Source organism: Homo sapiens, chromosome 6 (genome assembly GCF_000001405.40).
Source record: "Homo sapiens chromosome 6, GRCh38.p14 Primary Assembly".
NCBI lineage: Eukaryota > Metazoa > Chordata > Mammalia > Primates > Hominidae > Homo > Homo sapiens.
In genome coordinates, this window is record NC_000006.12 from 170,145,472 (window position 1) to 170,164,963 (window position 19,492).

At 58.6% G+C, this 19,492-nt stretch overlaps 2 long non-coding RNA genes and 1 other non-coding gene across 5 annotated transcripts, besides 5 other annotated features; 2 read left to right on the forward strand and 1 right to left on the reverse strand.

The window, feature by feature from the left end:
- Nucleotides 1,735-2,539: an enhancer, noted in NCBI's record as "H3K4me1 hESC enhancer chr6:170462430-170463234 (GRCh37/hg19 assembly coordinates)". NCBI's record gives its function as "activates a minimal SCP1, AML or CMV promoter by ChIP-STARR-seq in naive H9 embryonic stem cells {active_cell/tissue: H9 hESC(naive)}" and the evidence as "EXISTENCE:reporter gene assay evidence [ECO:0000049][PMID:30033119]".
- On the forward strand, nucleotides 1,771-5,466 carry LOC101929614 (proline-rich receptor-like protein kinase PERK10). Of its 2 annotated transcripts, none has more exons than XR_245646.5 (3): nucleotides 1,771-1,932; nucleotides 3,627-3,719; nucleotides 5,232-5,466. It is a non-coding gene; the product is annotated as a proline-rich receptor-like protein kinase PERK10 (transcript). The 2 variants fall into 2 exon arrangements; XR_001744488.3 differs by having other exon boundaries at nucleotides 1,771-1,918.
- Nucleotides 2,703-2,872: a silencer, noted in NCBI's record as "silent region_17801". NCBI's record gives its function as "represses an Ori minimal core promoter by ATAC-STARR-seq in GM12878 lymphoblastoid cells {active_cell/tissue: GM12878}" and the evidence as "EXISTENCE:reporter gene assay evidence [ECO:0000049][PMID:35858748]".
- Nucleotides 7,066-7,969: an enhancer, noted in NCBI's record as "H3K27ac-H3K4me1 hESC enhancer chr6:170467761-170468664 (GRCh37/hg19 assembly coordinates)". NCBI's record gives its function as "activates a minimal SCP1, AML or CMV promoter by ChIP-STARR-seq in naive H9 embryonic stem cells {active_cell/tissue: H9 hESC(naive)}" and the evidence as "EXISTENCE:reporter gene assay evidence [ECO:0000049][PMID:30033119]".
- Nucleotides 10,297-14,973, reverse strand: LOC105378153 (uncharacterized). Of its 2 annotated transcripts, none has more exons than XR_943322.3 (3): nucleotides 14,654-14,973; nucleotides 13,481-13,568; nucleotides 10,297-10,571 (listed from the first exon to the last, which is right to left on the reverse strand). It is a non-coding gene; the product is annotated as an uncharacterized LOC105378153 (long non-coding RNA). The 2 variants fall into 2 exon arrangements; XR_943321.3 differs by having other exon boundaries at nucleotides 10,297-10,574.
- Nucleotides 15,160-16,024: an enhancer, noted in NCBI's record as "H3K4me1 hESC enhancer chr6:170475855-170476719 (GRCh37/hg19 assembly coordinates)". NCBI's record gives its function as "activates a minimal SCP1, AML or CMV promoter by ChIP-STARR-seq in naive H9 embryonic stem cells {active_cell/tissue: H9 hESC(naive)}" and the evidence as "EXISTENCE:reporter gene assay evidence [ECO:0000049][PMID:30033119]".
- On the forward strand, nucleotides 15,171-17,556 carry LOC102724511 (uncharacterized). The gene is made up of 3 exons (NR_125878.1): nucleotides 15,171-15,225; nucleotides 17,000-17,257; nucleotides 17,340-17,556. It is a non-coding gene; the product is annotated as an uncharacterized LOC102724511 (long non-coding RNA).
- Nucleotides 18,555-19,492: an enhancer, noted in NCBI's record as "H3K4me1 hESC enhancer chr6:170479250-170480187 (GRCh37/hg19 assembly coordinates)". NCBI's record gives its function as "activates a minimal SCP1, AML or CMV promoter by ChIP-STARR-seq in primed H9 embryonic stem cells {active_cell/tissue: H9 hESC(primed)}" and the evidence as "EXISTENCE:reporter gene assay evidence [ECO:0000049][PMID:30033119]".

The following is a 19,492-nucleotide window of genomic DNA, read 5'->3' on the forward strand; positions in this document are numbered from 1 at the left end:
TGCTTGCCCAGGTCACCAAGTGGAGCTGGGGAGGAAGGAGAGAGCAGGGAGAGGAGGGGAGACCAGAACTCTCCTTTTGAACTCCTGGTCCCTCTGGAAGCATTTGGAGCTCACTGGGACCCTCCTCATTTTTGCTGCAGGTTCCCTTTTGTTCATTTGTTTTGTGTTGTTTTTGCACCCGGCCCTCCCTGCCTGTGCCATAGACTCTGTCTGTAACGTTTTTGATCCACATTTTTGCCACTCCTACATTGGGTCTGATAAGACAAAAGTGACTCTCTCAGAAAAGAAAACGGGCACAGTCTAAGGGTGGTGCTCATTTTGTGATGAAAGCCCCATCTTGTCTTTTTTTTCATCAAGGTGGTCTGACCAGCCTGCCCTGTACTGACCTTATTGTCATTCTTTTCTAGACACCAAAGCCATGGGCCCCAGTGTGTGGGAGGAGGACTCACATCAGCCAGGGACTTCCTTGCAGCCACAAGCGTGGGTGCAGTGGTGATAAGCACACTGCGGAGGGTGAGGTGTGTAGGAGGGTGAGGTGTGTAGGAGGGTGAGGTGTGTAGGAGGGTGAGGTGTGTAGGAGGGTGAGGTGTGTAGGAGGGTGAGGTGTGTAGGAGGGTGAGGTGTGTAGGAGGGTGAGGTGTGTAGGAGGGTGAGGTGTGTAGGAGGGTGAGGTGTGTAGGAGGGTGAGGTGTGTAGGAGGGTGAGGTGTGTAGGAGGGTGAGGTGTGTAGGAGGGTGAGGTGTGTAGGAGGGTTTGGTGTGTAGGAGGGTGAGGTGTGTAGGAGGGTGAGGTGTGTAGGAGGGTGAGGTGTGTAGGAGGGTGAGGTGTGTAGGTGGGTGAGGTGTGTAGGAGGGTGAGGTGTGTAGGAGGGTGAGGTGTGTAGGAGGGTTTGGTGTGTAGGAGGGTGAGGTGTGTAGGAGGGTGAGGTGTGTAGGAGGGTGAGGTGTGTAGGAGGGTGAGGTGTGTAGGAGGGTGAGGTGTGTAGGAGGGTGAGAGGTGTAGGTGGGATGAGGTATGTAGGTGTGTCCTGGAAGGTTCAGCAGCTGTCCCCACAGTGGGCCCACAGGAACGGTGGTGTGGACACACTGCTCTTTAAAAGTGCAACAGCCTCAAAAACAATCGAGGGCACAGGAGAAGTCACTGGAGAGCCATTGTTTTATTTAGGAAACAAACTCTGAAGCAGGCCCTGCTGCTCCCCAAAGATGTGCCCACTCCAAGGACCAGATTCTCAACACTTCACCTCTTCCCTGACAAACACGAAGTGAGAGTCACCCCCTCTGCCAAGACAGAGGGGTCGCGCCCAGGCCTCTGCTCCAAGCAGCAATGTCAGGAAGGTCTGGGCTGTGGCAGCTGAGGGAGAGCTCGACACCCACTCCCTGGACACCAACCCAGACGGCAGCCAGGCCTGCGGAGGCAGGGCCAGTCTTCGGGGGCAAGACGCGGCATGGAGACTCTGCACACACTTAGTCCAAAGGTTGGCTGCAGAATGTTAAGGTCCCAACAGGACAACAGGGGCAGGTGTCGGCACAGGAGGGTACCGAGCTCGGAGCAAGGCCTCAGAACTGGGACTCCAGTTTCTCTCCCGGGGAAGAAAAGGAGGCGGCACCGATCCGGACAGATGAGGGCCAGGCAGCAGCATCCTGGCATGACCGCAGCAGGAGGGAGGAGCCAACGGTGCCACGTGGTTCCCAAATGCCAAGCATAGCCTGAGAGAGGAGGAAACAGGAGAGAAGGGGAGGCCGGGGGGCCGCTTGGTGCCCAAGATTTCTCAGACGTCCCAGAGCCCTGACTCTGCTGCCAGCTTGCTTTACAGTGAGGCCAAGGAAGGAGCCACGGAGGGTGTGCTGGCCCTAGGAGCAGGATTCCTGTGTGTTCACTAAGCTTGCAGCATCAAGAAGCCACCAGCCAGCATGGACATGTGAGCGTCAGAGGGTGAGCAAGGCAACAGCCAGGACCAGGTGGAGCCAGGGGCCCCGCAGGTGCAGCCAGGACGGACATAGGGAGACCTTGGTCCCAACAAGGGCAGTGTCTCGATGGCCAGGCAGGAGTGGGGACGCTGTTGAGAAATGTTCTCCACAGCAGCTCAGGCAGCAGGAAAGACCCAGCCATCAGGTCAGCGCCGTGGTCTCCCAGCCAGCGTGCGCATGGCTGCAAATAGAGAAAAACACACCAGGAGGTCACACCCAAGGTCACTGCCGATCCCAGCACAGGGAGCCCCTGGCAAGGCCATTCCTGTGCTGGGCTAAGCCAACGCTGGACTCTGATTCAGCTGACAGCCCACAGGAGCTCCGTTTCTAGTGTTGGCAGCAACGTATCATCGCTCCAGCTTTGACTAAAACTGAAGGTTCCGATCAGTATTGTGTTTCCAGTTAAGTATGAAATGAAGGGCAGGGCACAGGTCTCTGCGTGCCTCTCCCACAGCTCGTGTGGGGCTGCTGCTGTGTGTGGGGAGCGGACGCTTCCTCCTGAGCCGATTCAAGCCTCAGTTGTGACCAGGTGTGAAATTTCCGAAGTTCTCATTCAGAGAACCAAGCTTTCGCTTCCATTTACCCCCCGAGCTCGGCCCTGGACACGCCTCTAGTTTTTACACCCCTCCAGGTCCCAGGTCTCGCCCCGATGGTGCCCAGAGACTGCTGCTCTCCGCTGGTTGGGCCCTAAATCCACCCTTCAGTGTTTGGCTGGCGCTTGCTGGCTCTGCCGGCGTCTCTCCAGCCAGCAGGACAGCTCTGCCGGAAGCCCCATCCCTCCTCCTCCCCATCCTGTCCCTGAGCCGTCAGCCCTGGTGGCCGCTTTGAGGTGTGGGCGGGTTCTCCTCTCCTCCGCAGACCCCTCTTTAGCTGCCTGTCTGGGCCAGCACAGGATGTGGGCGCCCCGTGACACTCTCTTCTGTGCCAGCCCACTGGCCCACACTTCGACCTCCTTCCCCACTGAGACAGCTTCTCCTGTTTATTTTTTACCATTTTGTGGCTCCCACCAACTCCTTCTGCCTTCTACCAACACGTACCCCAGGCCCAGCCAGCTGGAGCCCGTGCTGCAACCCAGCCAGGATTCCCTTTCCTGACGCCGCGGTGCCCATCTGCCTCCACCGATGGATCTCACAGGCAATGCCAGGCTTGGTTATACTTCACACAGACAACCATAGCACACCTGCCTGAAATCTCTCCTGTAAATTCCTAACCAATTTGAGGCTCAGATTTTTTTTAATTTCCCAAGTATCTACATATAATAAGTCAGAAGTAGAACTACCTAAGTATTTTTTTAAGCAGCTGAGATGTAGGAGGAGTGTGTTTGTCTACACAAACAGAGGGACATCTTCCCCAGGTGCGTTGAGGTAGGAGGCCACCCCGCCGTGGTGCGAGTCTCTCCTGAGCTGCCCAACGGCCACTTCTTTCCAGGCAGAGAGCACCTGTGCACAGTCCCTATGCATTTGCGAGAAAGAGCGAGGGGGCCGTTCTGTCACCTGCAGTCCCCCACGTGGTCTTGAGGCAGTGGACACACCAGGTGAGCATTAGGTGGGGGAGGGGTGAAGAGCCACTGTCCCCACCAAGACCAACAGGAATGCAGACTGAGCTCAGGAAGCTGCTGCCTGCACATGTCTACTCATCTTTCATTTAAAAACCACGCAGGAGGGAAAACAAAACACTCATGGGAAGAAGCGGGACCAGGCTCCAGCCGCAAAGTCGCCCTTCATGCTTCACGCAAGAAAAAGGCCTCAGAGGGTAAGGGCAGGGCGTGGGACAACACCCACCCCACAAGCCTGCTGCCCCTTCACTGCCTGCAGTGTACACAGAGCCTCACCCCCGACCACAAGCCTGCCACCTGCCACCCCTCCACTGCCTGCAGTGTAGACAGAGCCTCGCCCCCCACCACAAGCCTTCTGTGTAGACAGAGCCTCACCTACCTGACAAGCCAGCTGCCCACCACCCCTCCAGTGATTGCTGTGTAGATAGAGCTTCACCTCTCCCAAAAAGTCTGCTGCCTGCTGTCCCTCCACTGCCTGCAGTGTAGACAGAGGCTCATTCACTGCCAAGCCTGCTACCTGCTGCCCCTCCACTGCCTGCAGTGTAGACAGAGCTTCACCCTCGCCAACAAGCCTGCTGCCTGCCACCCCTCCACTGCCTGCAGTGTAGACAGGGACTTACCTACCCCACCAGCCTGCTGCCTGCTGCCCCTCCACTGCCTGCAGGTAGACAGGGACTTACCTACCCCACCAGCCTGCTGCCTGCTGCCCCTCCACTGCCTACAGTGTAGACAGAGCTTCACCCTCCCCAGCAAGCCTGCTGCCTGCCACCCCTCCACTGCCTGCAGTGTAGACAGAGCCTCACCCCCCACCACAAGCCTTCTGTGTAGACAGAGCCTCACCTACCTGACAAGCCAGCTGCCCACCACCCCTCCAGTGACTGCTGTGTAGATAGAGCTTCACCCCTCCCAAAAAGTCTGCTGCCTGCTGTCCCTCCACTGCCTGCAGTGTAGACAGAGGCTCATTCACCGCCAAGCCTGCTACCTGCTGCCCCTCCACTGCCTGCAGTGTAGACAGGGACTTACCTACCCCACCAGCCTGCTGCCTGCTGCCCCTCCACTGCCTGCAGTGTAGACAGAGGCTCACCCCCCCCACAAGCCTGCTGCCTGCCATCCCTCCACTGCCTACAGTGTAGACAGAGGCTCATCCCCCGCCAACAAGCCTGCTGCCTGCCGCCCCTGCACTGCCCGCAGTGTAGACAGATCTTCACCCTCCCCAACAAGCCTGCTGCCTGCCACCCCTCCACTGCCTACAGTGTAGACAGAGGCTCACCTCCTGCCAACAAGCCTGCTGCCAGCCGCCCCTCCACTACCTGCAATGCAGACAGAGCCTCACTCACTTCCCAGTGGCTTCTGGGGAGGAGGAATCCCTCCCTGAGTCCTCAGGCCCCTCATGTGGGTGAGTGTGGGTGGAGGGCGGCCTGGGCAGCAGCTGCTGGAGGAGCTGCAAACTCTGCCATCAGTGTACACAGTGATCCAGGTGCTGCCTCTGGCAATTCACGGGAGAATCCCAGAAAGTTCCGTGACATCATCTCCATAATCCCCAGTACACAGTGAAGCCGGAGCTGGAGAGAGATGGGCAGGTGGGGCTGGGGACCCAGGGATCATGACGGGGCACCTGGGGCGGGCACTGCTGGGCACTGCTGCCTCAGAACCTACTCAAGGTTCCACCTCCCAACACCGTTGCTTTGGGGATTAAATTTCCAACACAGGAGCTGTGAGGACATGATCAAATCACTGTGCCAGCTGGTCACCAGGGGGCCACCACTCCAAGGAACCCTGAAGATGGTGGACAGGAATTAGGAAGTGTTGAACCGTCTTAGATGGAATGCTGTTCATATGAAAGCAAGACGCTCTATCCTAGAATTGCTTTTATCATTTGGTTCTATTGCCACTTTTCGAAAATTGTGTGACGTGAAGCATGCAGAAATAAAAAGAAGTAACACAGAAATTCTCAGGTCCATCAGCCAAGGGGGCCTTGCTGACTGCAGGCGGAGGTCTCAGGCCCGCCCAGCCCTGGCGTCTCCGCAGGGCTCTGACCCCGAGACAGCTCCACAGCCCCCTCTATTCTCCCCCGGCGCTCACAATTCAACAACATGGACTTCATATTTGCCATTTGACAACTTGCCTTTTTCTGATAGGGCTCCAGTTGTGAAGTTAGCAAGAGCCTGAAGGCTTTTTTAAAAGGAAAGAAAAAATGTATATTTTTCTAAAAAAAAAAAATTCTAAGGGTGGTAAATTCCCTTAAGGTAAATCTGCTTCCCAGCTAATGCAAGAGCTGCAAGCAGCTGGGAAATGGGTGTTGTATTGTCTAGCCTGGCTCTGGGAACGGATTCATAGCTGCTGCCTGGAAGGTTAAAATGTGCAGAGGATTCGTGGAGAACAAGGAGAAAACCAAGACAGTCAGTTCGGTTTGGTTCCTGAGGGGGAAGCCCTGGGCTCATCATGGACGCCTAGAGGAGCGGGCGGCAGAGGCAGCTCCAGGCAGCTCCCGAGGGGAACCTGGGTATTTGGAAATCCTGGGGGAGTAGCTGAGGGAGGTGATTTAGAAGGTGATACTTTGGGCCTCGTGTCTTTTCTTTGGCTCTCTGTTGCTGGAGCAGAAAGACAGAGCAGTCTCAGGCATGCTTCCCTCCTCTCCTGGGCCAGCCTCGGATCAGCTGAGAGCCACAGCAGGGAGGGTGGGAAACCCAGGCTGGTGTTCCTGAGACAGCTCCTCCCGCCTGCCCCTGTCTCCTTCTGCTGAGTAGAAACAAAGCACTTCTCCCCACGTGGCAACGTAAATCAGGGATGTGTCTTCATCTCTAGTGATAAATAGGACTTTGTTTCATTCATTCTGAGGTGTTTAGAAAAGAACTGTTAAAAAAAAAAAAGCCAGATTGTCCCTCAAATTGTTCCTTCAATGCCTGGACACCTTTCTCCAGCCCTAGCAGGGCAAACGTCTGGGGATGTCAGACCGGACAGGAAAACCTTGAACTCCTTCAGAGCAGGAGGCTTTCCAGAATTCCAGGACGTCCCAACTCTCCCGCCGTGAGTGGCAGCTCAGCAGACCCGGAAGGAAGTGCGACCACGACTTTCCGCACTGAGGTCCTCAGCAAATGTTGATCCACGGGCTCCACGGCGCAGCCAGCACCGACTTCTCCACCCACTGGCCACCGAACCCTGTTCTCGCCAAGGCCTCCTTTGTCCACGCCTCCGAGGAGCTCGGCCCGGTGGTCACAAGTGCAGCCAAGAATGAGGGGCTATTTGGGTCAGGCAAGCCTGCCATGTTTCGGGAAAGTTGCCCCGGGGTTAGGAAACGCTCCATCTGAGGGAAATGGAGCTCCCCACCGGTTCTTGGAGCCCAGGCGTCGCCCACCCTGCTGGTTTTCTCTTTGGTGGGATTGTCTTTGAATTCCATTGTTGGCCTAGTTTCCTGAGCCAAACCTCAAACAGCTTGGCTGAGAGAGCACAGAACAGGAAAATCAGCTCGGAGAGAGGCTGGTCATAAGGAAATAGTCACTCGGCCGATGACGTCCACAGTCCCCTGACGTCTGTCCCCAGCATTGAGCAGCGGAAGCCACAGATTCTTGAAGCGGGAATTCAAGTCCTCAGGCAAAGGCGCATTGTGACTGTCTGATCAGCATTTCCTATTGATCTCTTTACAAATTACCTTTGTTCTCTAAGGCCAGGCAGGCATCTGGAGGCTGGAGCGGGAGGGCCATCGGGTGAGGCCCCGGCCAGCGCCTCAGACTGCCAGAGAGCCTCAGCCCCGCCCCACACCGTCCCAGGTCCCTGCCTGGAGGATCTGGAGCTGGGGACTGCTGTGAGGTGGACACGGTGCAGCTGATTCCAGGGCGCCCTGAGCTGAAGCAACACCGTGCAACCAGTCGCAGGTGCTCAGGACGAGCCGTACCAAGAGGGACGTTCCTCTGCCAGATCAAACGTGGGGTGGTTGTTCGGCCCAAGGCTGCCCGTGCTGTTCCCTGCACCCCAGTAAGCCAGGTTATGGGGTGAGCTCTGGCCCTGCCCTCCCAACCTCCCCCCCACCGGCTGGCTGGAGGCCCTGTGCTCGCCCGCCCGCCAGGCTGCGGCTGCCCTGCAGGAGCTGGGACTGACTCTAATTGTGATTTGATCCCGTTGTGTTTTCTCTGTGAAGTGCTTCACTGTTAGAAAAGTGAAGGGCTGCCGCCCGGCTGCATAAATTCCTCACACATCAATGTCCCCATTACAGCATGAGTCAGCAGCCCTGCCGGCAGGTGCTGAGAGTTTGGCGGCCAGCCCACTCCTGCAGAACTTCCAGAGCGAGCCATCTCCACGCAGAGGGGGAGCCTCCCAGTGAACCCCAAGCTGAAGACTGCCCTCTATCACCTCGTTTGTGGCAATGGGGGCTGTGGGGGAGGGGGAAGGAGGCATGTGCTGTTAGTAAGAGGCTCACATCTGACAAAAAAATACCATTCCCAGAAAGTCAGGCCTTTGAGGCGATCGCTACCTCACAACCATGACTCCCCCAGTCCCACCTGCATGAGCCGGACACGCCTGTCACATGGTGGCCTGCACCGAGCACCCGCACACCGGCCCCCACAACACCCCACTAGCTCTGCAGAAGGCCCCCTCCACCCACGCCCACCCCAGTGGACTCCAGTAGGTGGGCGCCCAGGTTGACTCCAATCCACAAGCAACCGCGGAAAGAGCAAGGCTGGGAAACCGGCAGGGGCCGCCAGGACCACAGCAACCTTCCTCCCTGCGCCTGCAGTCAGAGGTGCCCTGTGTCCCCGGAGGAGAGCGAGGGGCTCGGGAGGGTCCTCACTCACAGGCACCGGGCGCTTCGACTGCACCCTCATCTCCATCTGCAGGAGGCACAAAGGGGGACTGACAAGCCCAGTCAGGGTGCATGGGAAGGTCCTTTCCCACTAGACAAGCCAGTAGGGGCCAGGGCCCCAGGGGTACTGGCTGGAGGGGGCGTCTCCCCCACACCATCCTGGCCCTTGGGCTCACTGCAGACATGGAAGCCAGCAGGCAAAGCTGCACACCCCTCTCCCTCCTCCCAGCCCAGGCCTGTGTGCTCTCCCTCCTCCCAGCCCAGGCCTGCCTGCTCTCCCTCCTCCCAGCCCAGGCCTGCAGGCCAGGTAGTGATGGATAAGACGGGTCATTGCACCTGGTGCTGCACTCGCCTCCTGTTCCTTCCAGGAGGGTCTTCTCCAGCCCTGCCGGGAAGACCCTGGTGCACACAGGCCTTCCAGCATGGCCTGCCTAGCTCCTCGCCCTCCTGGGTCCTCACAGCCCCGGCCTCCTCCCTCCATGGTCGTGCTCTTCTGCTGTCAGCCCCAGGCCTCGCAGTATCGGCCAGAAAAGCCCATGCCCCTGGGCAAGCCCTGAGTCAGGGCCCCTCCACAGAACCCGGGACCCCTCCACAGAACCCAGGGACCCCTCCACAGAACCCAGGGCCCCTCCACAGAACCCAGGACCCTTCCACAGAACCCAGGGCCCCTCCACAGAACACAGGGCCCCTCCACAGAACCCAGGGACCCCTCCACAGAACCCAGGGCCCCTCCACAGAACCCAGGGCCCCTCCACAGAACCCAGGGCCCCTCCACAGAACCCAGGGACCCCTCCACAGAACCCAGGACCCCTCCATAGAACCCAGGACCCCTCCATAGAACCCAGGGCCCCTCCACAGAACCCAGGGACCCTCCACAGAACCCAGGGACCCCTCCATAGAACCCAGGGCCCCTCCACAGAACGCAGGACCCCTCCACAGAACCCAGGGACCCTCCACAGAACCCAGGGCCCCTCCACAGAACCCAGGACCCCTCCACAGAACCCAGGACCCTTCCACAGAACCCAGGACCCCTCCATAGAACCCAGGACCCTTCCACAGAACCCAGGGCCCCTCCACAGAACCCAGGGACCCCTCCATAGAACCCAGGGCCCCTCTACAGAACCCAGGGCCCCTCTACAGAACTCAGGACCCCTCTACAGAACCCAGGACCCCTCTACAGAATGCAGGACCCCTCCATAGAACCCAGGACCCCTCTACAGAACTCAGGACCCCTCTACAGAACCCAGAACCCATCTACAGAACTCAGGACCCCTCTACAGAACCCAGGACCCCTCTACAGAACGCAGGACCCCTCCATAGAACCCAGGACCCCTCTACAGAACCCAGGACCCCTCTACAGAACCCAGGACCCCTCTACAGAACCCAGGGCCCCTCTACAGAACTCAGGACCCCTCTACAGAACCCAGGACCCCTCTACAGAACTCAGGACCCCTCTACAGAACTCAGGACCCCTCTACAGAACCCAGAACCCATCTACAGAACCCAGGACCCCTCTACAGAACCCAGGACCCTTCTACAGAACCCAGAACCCATCTACAGAACCCAGGACCCCTCCACAGAACCCAGGACCCCTCTATAGAACCCAGGACCCCTCTACAGAACCCAGGACCCCTCTACAGAACCGAGGACCCCTCTACAGAACCCAGGACCCCTCTACAGGACCCAGGGCCCCTCTGTAGAACCCAGGACCCCTCTACAGGACCCAGGGCCCCTCTATAGAACCCAGGGCCCCTCTACAGAACCCAGGACCCCTCTACAGGACCCAGGACCGTTCTACGGAACCCAGCGCTTGTCCCCTGGCCCCTGCAGGTGTGTCCTGCTCTGCACTGCACAGGCAGTGGGAAGAGTGGGGTAGTTGCGGGACGCCCCGATTCTCTTCAGGAGGAGGTGTCACCTGCCTCACAGAGGACTAGGTGAGCAGTGGATGCAGGGTTTGTTTTAAAACAACACACAAGCCTTTCTGATCTCATGTTCCTTTCTAAGAATGGGTCTGGCCAAGACCTGCGCCTCCTGAGGGTCGCTGTGGAAATAAATTCTCTCTCCGCAGCCGACCGAGGCCACGTCCAGTGGCCACCACAGTGTCAGTTTCTGCTGTTTGCCTTTCTTCTGTTGGTCAGCACACTCCGTCCCTCAAAGCTGCGCAGAGAAAATGCAGCGATCACAGGGCCCAGGGCTGCATTTCGGAAGCCACAGGCAAGACGACAGCTCAGCTTTGCAGCCGCACACGGTCCTGCTGAGATGGAAAATGCAGTGAGCGGCGGTCAGCTATTTCGGGACTGAACGGGCTTACAACCACACTGCCAACTTCAGACAGCGGGTCCAGAGGGCGAGGGGCTGGCTGACAACCCACTAAAATATGGGATCCATTTCTAATCAAGATAAAGGATTAGGGACATGATGTCTGGTCACTTAGGAGCATAAAAGCATGTTTGGGGAAGTAATTATATGCTTGGGATGGAATCTTAAACCCAAAGAATGAGAAGCCAATTTATAGGCCGTGATAAAGCTGGGGCTAAATTGGTCCCAACTGTTGAGAACCTGGGTAAGATTTCAGAAGAAAAATCTTTCCACGGATGTTCCTATAGAAAGCCTGGCATCCACTCGGGTGGGAGGCAGTTGTTCTGAACCAGGGAGGCTGCGCCCTGCGGGGCAGGTGCACGCGGACCACCCCACGCCTTCAGCCGAATTGACTTCCACAGAAGGGGGCAGGGCTCGGGGATGGTCAGCCAAAGGAAAGCCAGACACCGCTGTGGGGTGGGGTGCACAGATGCCACCTCCATCGCAGCAGGCCTAGAGTAGACACAGGGTTCCCCAAGGGGCCCTTGTGAGTCACCTGCCCCTTCATCCCCGGGAGCCACGATGGGCTTTATGACCACACGTCCTCCGGGAGAAGCTGCCCGTTCCCATAGCCCCCACAGGGCCTCCTGTCTGCGTGGGCGCCCACCCTCTCCTGTGCAGACACCATAGGCCTGAATGGTGCAGAACTTGGGCCTGAGGCAGGGAAGGGGCCCCCTGGGACTCTAAGGACTTCCAGAACTCCAGCGCCACACATGGGCCACAGAGGCAGCAGGAGACGCACTCACACCCATCTCAGCGCCCGCACGACCTGGAACGCACTGGGGGTGCTGCTGGGAAGACAGGAAGCGAAGGGTCTGGGCTCCCAGCATCACCTGGGCCCTGCAGACCCCCCAAGGCTGGGCTCCCACCAGGGAGACTGAGCCCAGGACATTTTAAATCCCACGGGCTCTGACGTGCCACTGGCCAGACACTCCAAGTCGAGGCCATTGCCGTCTCAGGCAGCCATGCACAACTCTGGTTCCCAGGCCGGCAGCCACAGGCCAGCTGGTCAGAGCCCGAGCTCCACCCCAGGGCCCCCAGAGCCTGGCACACATGGTCCCGAGGGCTCCCGTCAGGCCATGACCTCCCCATGCCAGATTCCCTCGGAGGCACTTCCTGCCTGCAGCAACACCATAGCAAACACTGAGGCTGAGGCTGTGCCCACCCCACATCTGCAGCCCCTCCAGAGACCTCTCTGGTTCCGGCTCTGCCAGCAAGCAGCGAGGACCTCCACAGGTGAGCCACAGCCTTGTGGCCCGAGGCCTTCACATAAGGGTGACCCTCTGAGCTGGTCTCATGCTGGCCCTCAAATGTGTCTCTGTGTGCCACGGAGTGAGAGAATTTCATACAGATCATCCAGAAGAATGATTAGGAAAAGCCCCACACAGCTTTGGGCCCTGCAATGTGGGGAGAGCATCCTGCATGGTCTGCTGGGCCCAATATAACCCCAAGACCCTCAGGTTGTGGGGGGCATGGGGACCAGAGATAGATGGTGGGAGAGGCCAACCCACACTGCTGGGTCACAGAGAGATGGCGGGAGAGGCCGCCTGAGATGCTGGGTCACAGAGAGATGGCGGGAGAGGGCGACCCGCGCTGCTGGGTCACAGAGAGACGGCGGGAGAGGGCGACCTGACATGCTGGGTCACAGAGAGATGGCGGGAGAGGCCGACCTGAGATGCTGGGACCAGAGAGAGATGGTGGGAGGGGGCGACCCGCGCTGCTGGGTCACAGAGAGATGGTGGGAGAAGCCAACCTGAGACGCTGGGACCAGAGAGAGATAGTGGGAGAGGCCGACCTGAGATGCTGGGACCAGAGAGAGATAGTGGGAGAGGCCAACCTGAGATGCTGGGACCACAAAGAGACGGTGGGAGAGGGCGACCCGCGCTGCTGAGTCACAGAGAGATGGCGAGAGAGGGCGACCTGAGATGCTGGGTCACAGAGAGATGGCGGGAGAGGCCGACCTGAGATGCTGGGACCAGAGAGAGATAGTGGGAGAGGCCGACCTGAGATGCTGGGACCATCAAGAGATGGTGGGAGAGGGCGACCCGCGCTGCTGGGTCACAGAGAGATGGTGGGAGAGGCCAACCTGAGATGCTGGGACCAGAGACAGATGGTGGGAGAGGCCGACCTGAGATGCTGGGACCAGAGAGAGATGGTGGGAGAGGCCGACCTGAGATGCTGGGACCAGAGACAGATGGTGGGAGAGGCCGACCTGAGATGCTGGGACCAGAGACAGATGGTGGGAGAGGCTGACCTGAGATGCTGGGACCAGAGAGAGATGGTGGGAGAGGCCGACCTGAGATGCTGGGACCACCAAGAGATGGTGGGGGAGGGCGACCCGCGTTGCTGGGTCAAAGGCAGAGGCTGCAAGCCATGGGCAGCCTTGAGAAGCTGGAAGCGTGGAGGGCAGCTGTGTGCCTTCTCTCCTGGAGCCTCCAGGAAAGGGGCCGGGCAGAGGTGGCAACAGGGAGAGTACACCGGGCACCCGCACCCCGAGAGAAAGGGAGATGCTTTAAAAAGCTCCAACTGGCTGAATTCAGAGGGAAATAGCATCACAGTTTGCAAAAAGTGGTGTCTCTCCTAGTAAATTTCACATATATTTACACTGCACCGATGGAAACAAGACTCATTGTCAATTATAATAAATCCGCATTTGTGCTCCCAGCAGCGTTGGCAAAGTGCGTTAAGGTGCATTAGGTTATCCGGGCCTAGAAGCAGACGTCGGTGCAGGCGCCGCTGTTGCTGTTTTAGAGACGGGTCGGGCGCTGCGGCCCCGTGGGGGCAGGCGGTTCTCAAGCTCACCTGCGCTGCTGAGAGGGAATGGCGATTTTCTCACTTTTTATGTCACCGCATCTCAGGGTTTGCAGGCAAAAGTCAGCAGACTCACCCTCTGTGATGAAAAGCAGGGATCGTTTCGAGGCTGGACTCAGTGCACTCTCCAGGTCTTAGAAGTGATGAAAATGTTCCCTGAAACTGCCTCGCTTGGCGCTGAGTGACAGACAACCCAGGAAAGCCCTCCCTACAGGGTAACTGCGGGACAAAGCGGCGCCTCCTCTCGCGGGCAGGCGGCTGGCTGAGCCCCCAGGCCCACGTCCGGGCATCCTCTCCCTCTAAGCACGGAGACGCCCCCGGCCCGCCCCAGCCCCTTCACCTGCCACTGATTAGGGGACCAGCATCCAGCCCGGGCCCTGTGCAGTGCCGCCCGCCATCCTCCTGCATTAGCATACTCCTAATTGATTAAGTGGATGATTGATTATTGGACCCGTGCGGTCTGCTTTCCAGACCCGTTGGCTGGGAATGGAAAGCCACGCTCGGCCCTCGGATGCAGCAGAAGCCCCCTGCCCCGTCCGCTCCAGGCTGCAGAGCCGAGGTGATTGGCGCCAGGCTGCCCACCCCGCCTGCCCCAGCAAGTGCGTCGCGCCCCCATGGTTTCTGCTGTTTGCATGTCAGGTCCCGGCAGGAAGCTGCAGTCCGACGTTGCTCAGCGTCCAGCAAGGGGCTGCCCAGATCCCGTCTTCCACAGACCCCCTCTGAGGCCCTCGTTCCCTCAAACCCCAGGAGCCAGCTCTGCCCCCGCACAGCTCCACGGCCCCAGGCTGCTTCCCGCTACTGTAACAGACGACCACAGGTCGCATAGGCCAGAGCCCGGCACGGCTTCTTGGGTGACAATCGAGGGGTCCTGACCCAGCACCCGTGGGCACACCCTTATTTGGAAATTGGGCCTAGCCCGGAGTGATCATGAGGCCACGTGACATGGGCGTGCCAGTCTCACCAACGTGTGTTTTCACGGGCACCACAGAGTCTGTTTTCTATGGGTGGGGCAGCGGTGAACATATCCCTCTTAATAGCGGTACGGGTACGGCCAGGGAGGCGGCAGAACGTAGACAGAACCCGGGCACTGAGAGACCGGTGCCGCCCCCCGCCGTCCACACAACCCGGGCCTCGGGCAGCACCAGCAGGACTTTTATTCCTCACCCCGCACGCCGCCGTCCATCTCCTAGGCCAGCGTGATTCTTCTGAGTGCAGCTGGGTCTCCTCCTGGGAGATCCGGTGGCTCTAGCAGCGTGGGTGCTGGGAACAGGACCAGCCTCGCCGGCGGACAGTGTGGACGCCTGAGGGCAAACCCTGGACCACTCTCTCCCCGGGGGACTCCGTTCCCGCCTCCAGGGAGCTGCGAACGCTCCTTCTGGGACACCTGTTGGCAAGAAACCAGTTCAATCGTCTCACTTCCAGAAACGATTCTGTGTTTTGACAGAAGTTTTCAGGCAGCAGAACTCAGCCAAAAGGATGTCTGTGGGCGGCCCTTCCGGGGGCGTGGCCAGGCAGGTGGGCGGCCCTTCCGGGGGCGTGGCCAGGCAGGTGGGCTGCCTTCCGGGGGCGTGGCCAGGCAGGTGGGCGGCCCTTCCGGGGGCGTGGCCAGGCAGGTGGGCGGCCCTTCTGGGGGCGTGGCCAGGCAGGTGGGCGGCCCTTCCGGGGGCGTGGCCAGGCAGGTGGGCGGCCCTTCCGGGGGCGTGGGCAGGTGGGCGACCCTTGGGGGGCATGGGCAGGTGAGTGGCCCTTCAGGGGCGTGGCATGTGCAGGTGGGCAGCCCTTCCAAGGGCGCGGCCAGGCAGTTGGGCGGCTCTTCCAGGGACATGGGCAGATGGGCCACCCTTGGGGTGCATGGGCAGGTGAGTGGCCCTCTGGGGCTGTGGCTCAGGCAGGCGGGCAGCCTTTCCAGGGACATGGCACTGGCAGGTGGAATCTGTTGTCTAGGCAGGTGGACCTGGGCACTCCTGGGCCTGCTCCTGTGTGGGGGCTGCCCTGGACAGGCCAGTCAGAGTCCATTCCACAGTTAAAGCTCGAACTTCCCGAAAGAGGCAGCTCTTCTCAGGACAGGCCACGACTCCTGCAGGCTGGGCTGTGGGGCTCCCAGATAACCCCACAGCCTGCTGACCGGCCGTCAGGAAACGGGGGCAGGGCACCCTCCTGGCCTCGCTCCCTCCCCGCCGGGGGGTCTTCATTAGCCCCCTGTGGAGCACAACCAGCCAGCAGGCCTGACCCCTGACTCTCACTCATTCTTCCACAGATTAATTCCCCAAATTGACAAATTAAGGGGCGCGGTGTGCCCAGGGTCACAGTCACACTGGGTTCTGGTCAGCATCAACCTGGCTTTAAAGAGGGTTTGGACTGAGGGGAGGAGGAGCCCAAACAGACCCCAGGCTCCAAGGGGAGGCAGAGGCAGGGCGTTCTCAGAACTCAAGGGACCGAACACAGCAGGCCAGGCCGCGCTGCAGCTATGCCTAAAGCACCCTGCCTGGCGTGGCTGCGGGTCCCTGGATGTGTGAGAGGCCTCCCAGGAGAACCTGACAGGTACAAAGCTTGGGCTTAGGACTAGGGTGCTATTGCCCGGGATAAGACTTTGTATTTGTATAATATTTTGCAAAAATCTATCATTTGATCCCCACAGCCTCTAACATAGTGAGGATGGCAGAAATTACCATCTCCACTTTTTTTTTTTTTTTTTTTTTTTTGAGACGATCTTGCCCTGTCACCTGGGCTGGAGTGCAGTGGGGCAATCTCAGCTCACTGCAACCTCCACCTCCCGGGTTCAAGTGATTCTCCTGCCTTAGCCTCCCGGGTGGCTGGGACTACAGGTGCACGCCACCATGCCCGGCTAATTTTTTGTATTTTTAATAAAGACGGGGTTTCCCCATGTTAGCCAGGATGGTGTCGATCTCCTGACCTCGTGATCCGTCTGCCTCACCATCTCCACTTTTTAAATGGGGAGGCGAAGTGACTGGTTCAAGAGCACAGCTAGTTCCAGGGGGGCAAAGTTTCCTCCTGATCTCACCCCGGGGCTCATTCCTTTAACCCCAAGGCTTGCCACATACCAGGGTGTTGGGGACAGAAAGAAAGATGTACAAATTTGGCAAGAATAGTCAACCAATTCAACACTTCTTACTGAGTGCCTTCTGTGTGCAAAGGATTGCACTCACCAGCGTCTGAGGGATCCGGAAGCCCCAGATGTAGCCCCGTCCCCGGGACTTGGCAAGAGGAGGAACGCAGGCACAGACAGCCCCTGGGGGATGCCAGGAGGGACCCCCCCACTCAGAACCCCACAGCAGGAGCTCAAGAATGCACTCTGGGGCAGGGTGGCTGGAGGGCCCTGCACTGAAGCCCACGGTGCTGGCTGGTATTGATCCCACTCGCCCGTCTCAGCCTCTGGCTCCGGTCCCCTCCCTGCTCTGCCAGAGGTCCCAACAACCACAACCGTCTGTCACCCTCCCAGTGAGGCAGGAGAGCACCTGGCCCTGAGTCCCGTTTGTCCCATTTGTCCAGTGGAGCAGCCACCGGCCCTGACCTGGACCACGTGCTGGGCGCCTCCTGGCAGCCCGTTCTGCTCCCGAATGCCCCGGCTTAGTCAGTCTGGGATGCGGCCCTGGACACCGGGCTTTATGCAGCTCTGAAGTGATCCCAGCACACAGCCCGGGTCAAGCTCAGCGCTCGGCAACCATAGGCACCCAACAACGGGCTGCAGCCATCAGTAACAACGGCAGCTCCAACGCCCAGAGAACTCACGGAGCAGACACACATCAGGTACTCCAGGTACACCAGCGATTCAGGATCATCCCCATGGCAGCCCTCCTTCCTCTGAAGGATTTTTTCCCACTCTCCTCAGATGAAGACGCGGAGGCCTGAGCGCTGGGGGTCGCCCGGGGCTGCACAGCGGGTCAGAGGCCAACCCTGGGCGGAGCCAGGCCACACCCTCCCTCAAGGATTCACAGTCTCCCCAAAGTAACCGCAACGAGGGACCCTCCCGTCACCAAACTTCCTTTCAGTCACTTCCGCTTGTACTAATTCTGGCCCAACCGTTCATTATATTTTTACAATTCTTATCTTGGTGTGTATTTTTTGACCCTAAAAATCCTAACTCCATTCCATCAATATTTTGTATATGCAGATTTCTAGCACAGTAAGTCATAAAATGTGCCTCTCCTGGCAACACAAAAATGTCTTCCTGTTGCTTTTAAGACCACCGACTGATGCTGCTGCCTGGATATCCACTTGCAAGCATTCCCGAGCCTCAGAACGTGAACTCGCAAACGCTCAGGCACCAGCTGTCTTAAGCCTAAATCTGCTCTCCACCAAAAGGGTGGCATTAGATGGCGTCTCACTTTACATATTTTCATTTTTATAACCACATTCCTGGGGTTTGAAGCTACTGTAGGTGGTTGAAGCAAGGAGTGAAGAGCCGGTGTTGAGGATGGGCTGATTTACAGGGACAGGAGCCTGCAGTCACCACAGCGGAGCCTGTAGGAATGAGGCAGAAAAGCCAGGGAAAGCACTGTGGGGACGGCTCTGACTGCTGAAGAGTGTGCACACACACACGTACACACACACGTACACACAGACACACACACACAGACACACACACGTACTAGCGCTGTGGGGGCGGCCCTGACTCCTGAAGCATGTACACACACGTACATGCACACACACATACAGACACACACACACAGACACACATGTACCAGCGCTGTGGGGGTGGCTGTGACTCCTGAAGCATGTGCACACACGTACACAGACACACACATGTACACACACACATGTACACACACACGTACACACACGTACACACACAGACACACACGTACACACACACACGTACACACACACACACAGACACACGTACCAGCACTGTGGGGGTGGATCTGACTCCTGAAGCATATGCACACACATACACACGCAGACACACAGACACAGACGCGCACACACACACACAGACACACGTACCAGTGCTGTGGGGCGGCTCTGACTCCTGAAGCATGTGCACACACATACAGACACAGACACACACACACCAGCGCTGTGGGGGTGGCTCTGACTCCTGAAGCTCATGCACGCACACACACACACACACACACACACTCCAGCGCTGTGGGGGTGGCCTCTGACTCTTGAAGCATGTGCACACACACGTACACACACAGAGACACACACGTATACACACACAGAGACACACACACGTACCAGCGCTGTGGGGGTGACCTCTGACTCCTGAAGTGTGCACACATACATACACACGTGCAGGCATATGTGCATGGACATGTGTGTACACACAGCACACACACACGCATGCTAAAGTACCTGTTTCCCTCAGATAGGGCCACACTCAGCACAGAGCTCACCAGGGGCCCCTCCCAGAGATGCGCTCCCCCCTACCACATGACCCCGGAATGGCCATGTGTGCAGGGTGCTCACAGCACACATGTGCTCATGGTGCCCTTGGCTTCGTGGCCGGCTGTGCCAATCACGTTTGCTTCATCTCCATGGCTTCTCTGACCATCATCCCACACTGTGGTAGGCAGAGCGGTGCCCCCCAACGATGTTCCATCCTAGACTCCAGCATTGGTGAACGTGTCATGCTACATGGAAAACACAATTTAGGCTCCAGACGAAATGAAGGGCGCGGCTGAGCTGACCCGAGAGGGGAGATTGTGCCGGGTCTGAGGTGCCACTGGGTCCCTGGACGTGGGAGAGGAAACAGGCAGGAATCGGGGGGACGTGCGTGAGAAGGGCTGAGCCCCATGGCTGGCTCTGCAGGTGGAGGTGGCAGCCTCAAGCCACAGAACGCAGCCGCCTCTGGAGGCTGGAAGAGGCCTGGGGCTAGGGGAGGATTCTCCCTGCGGCCTCCAGAAGGAACCAGCCCTGACGACAGCTAGAGTTTTAGCCCAGTGGGACTCTTTTCAGACTTCCAGCCACAGAGCTGTAGGATAATAAATGTGTGTGGCTTTAAGCCACCAAGTGAGTGATTACAGCGGCAGTAGGAAA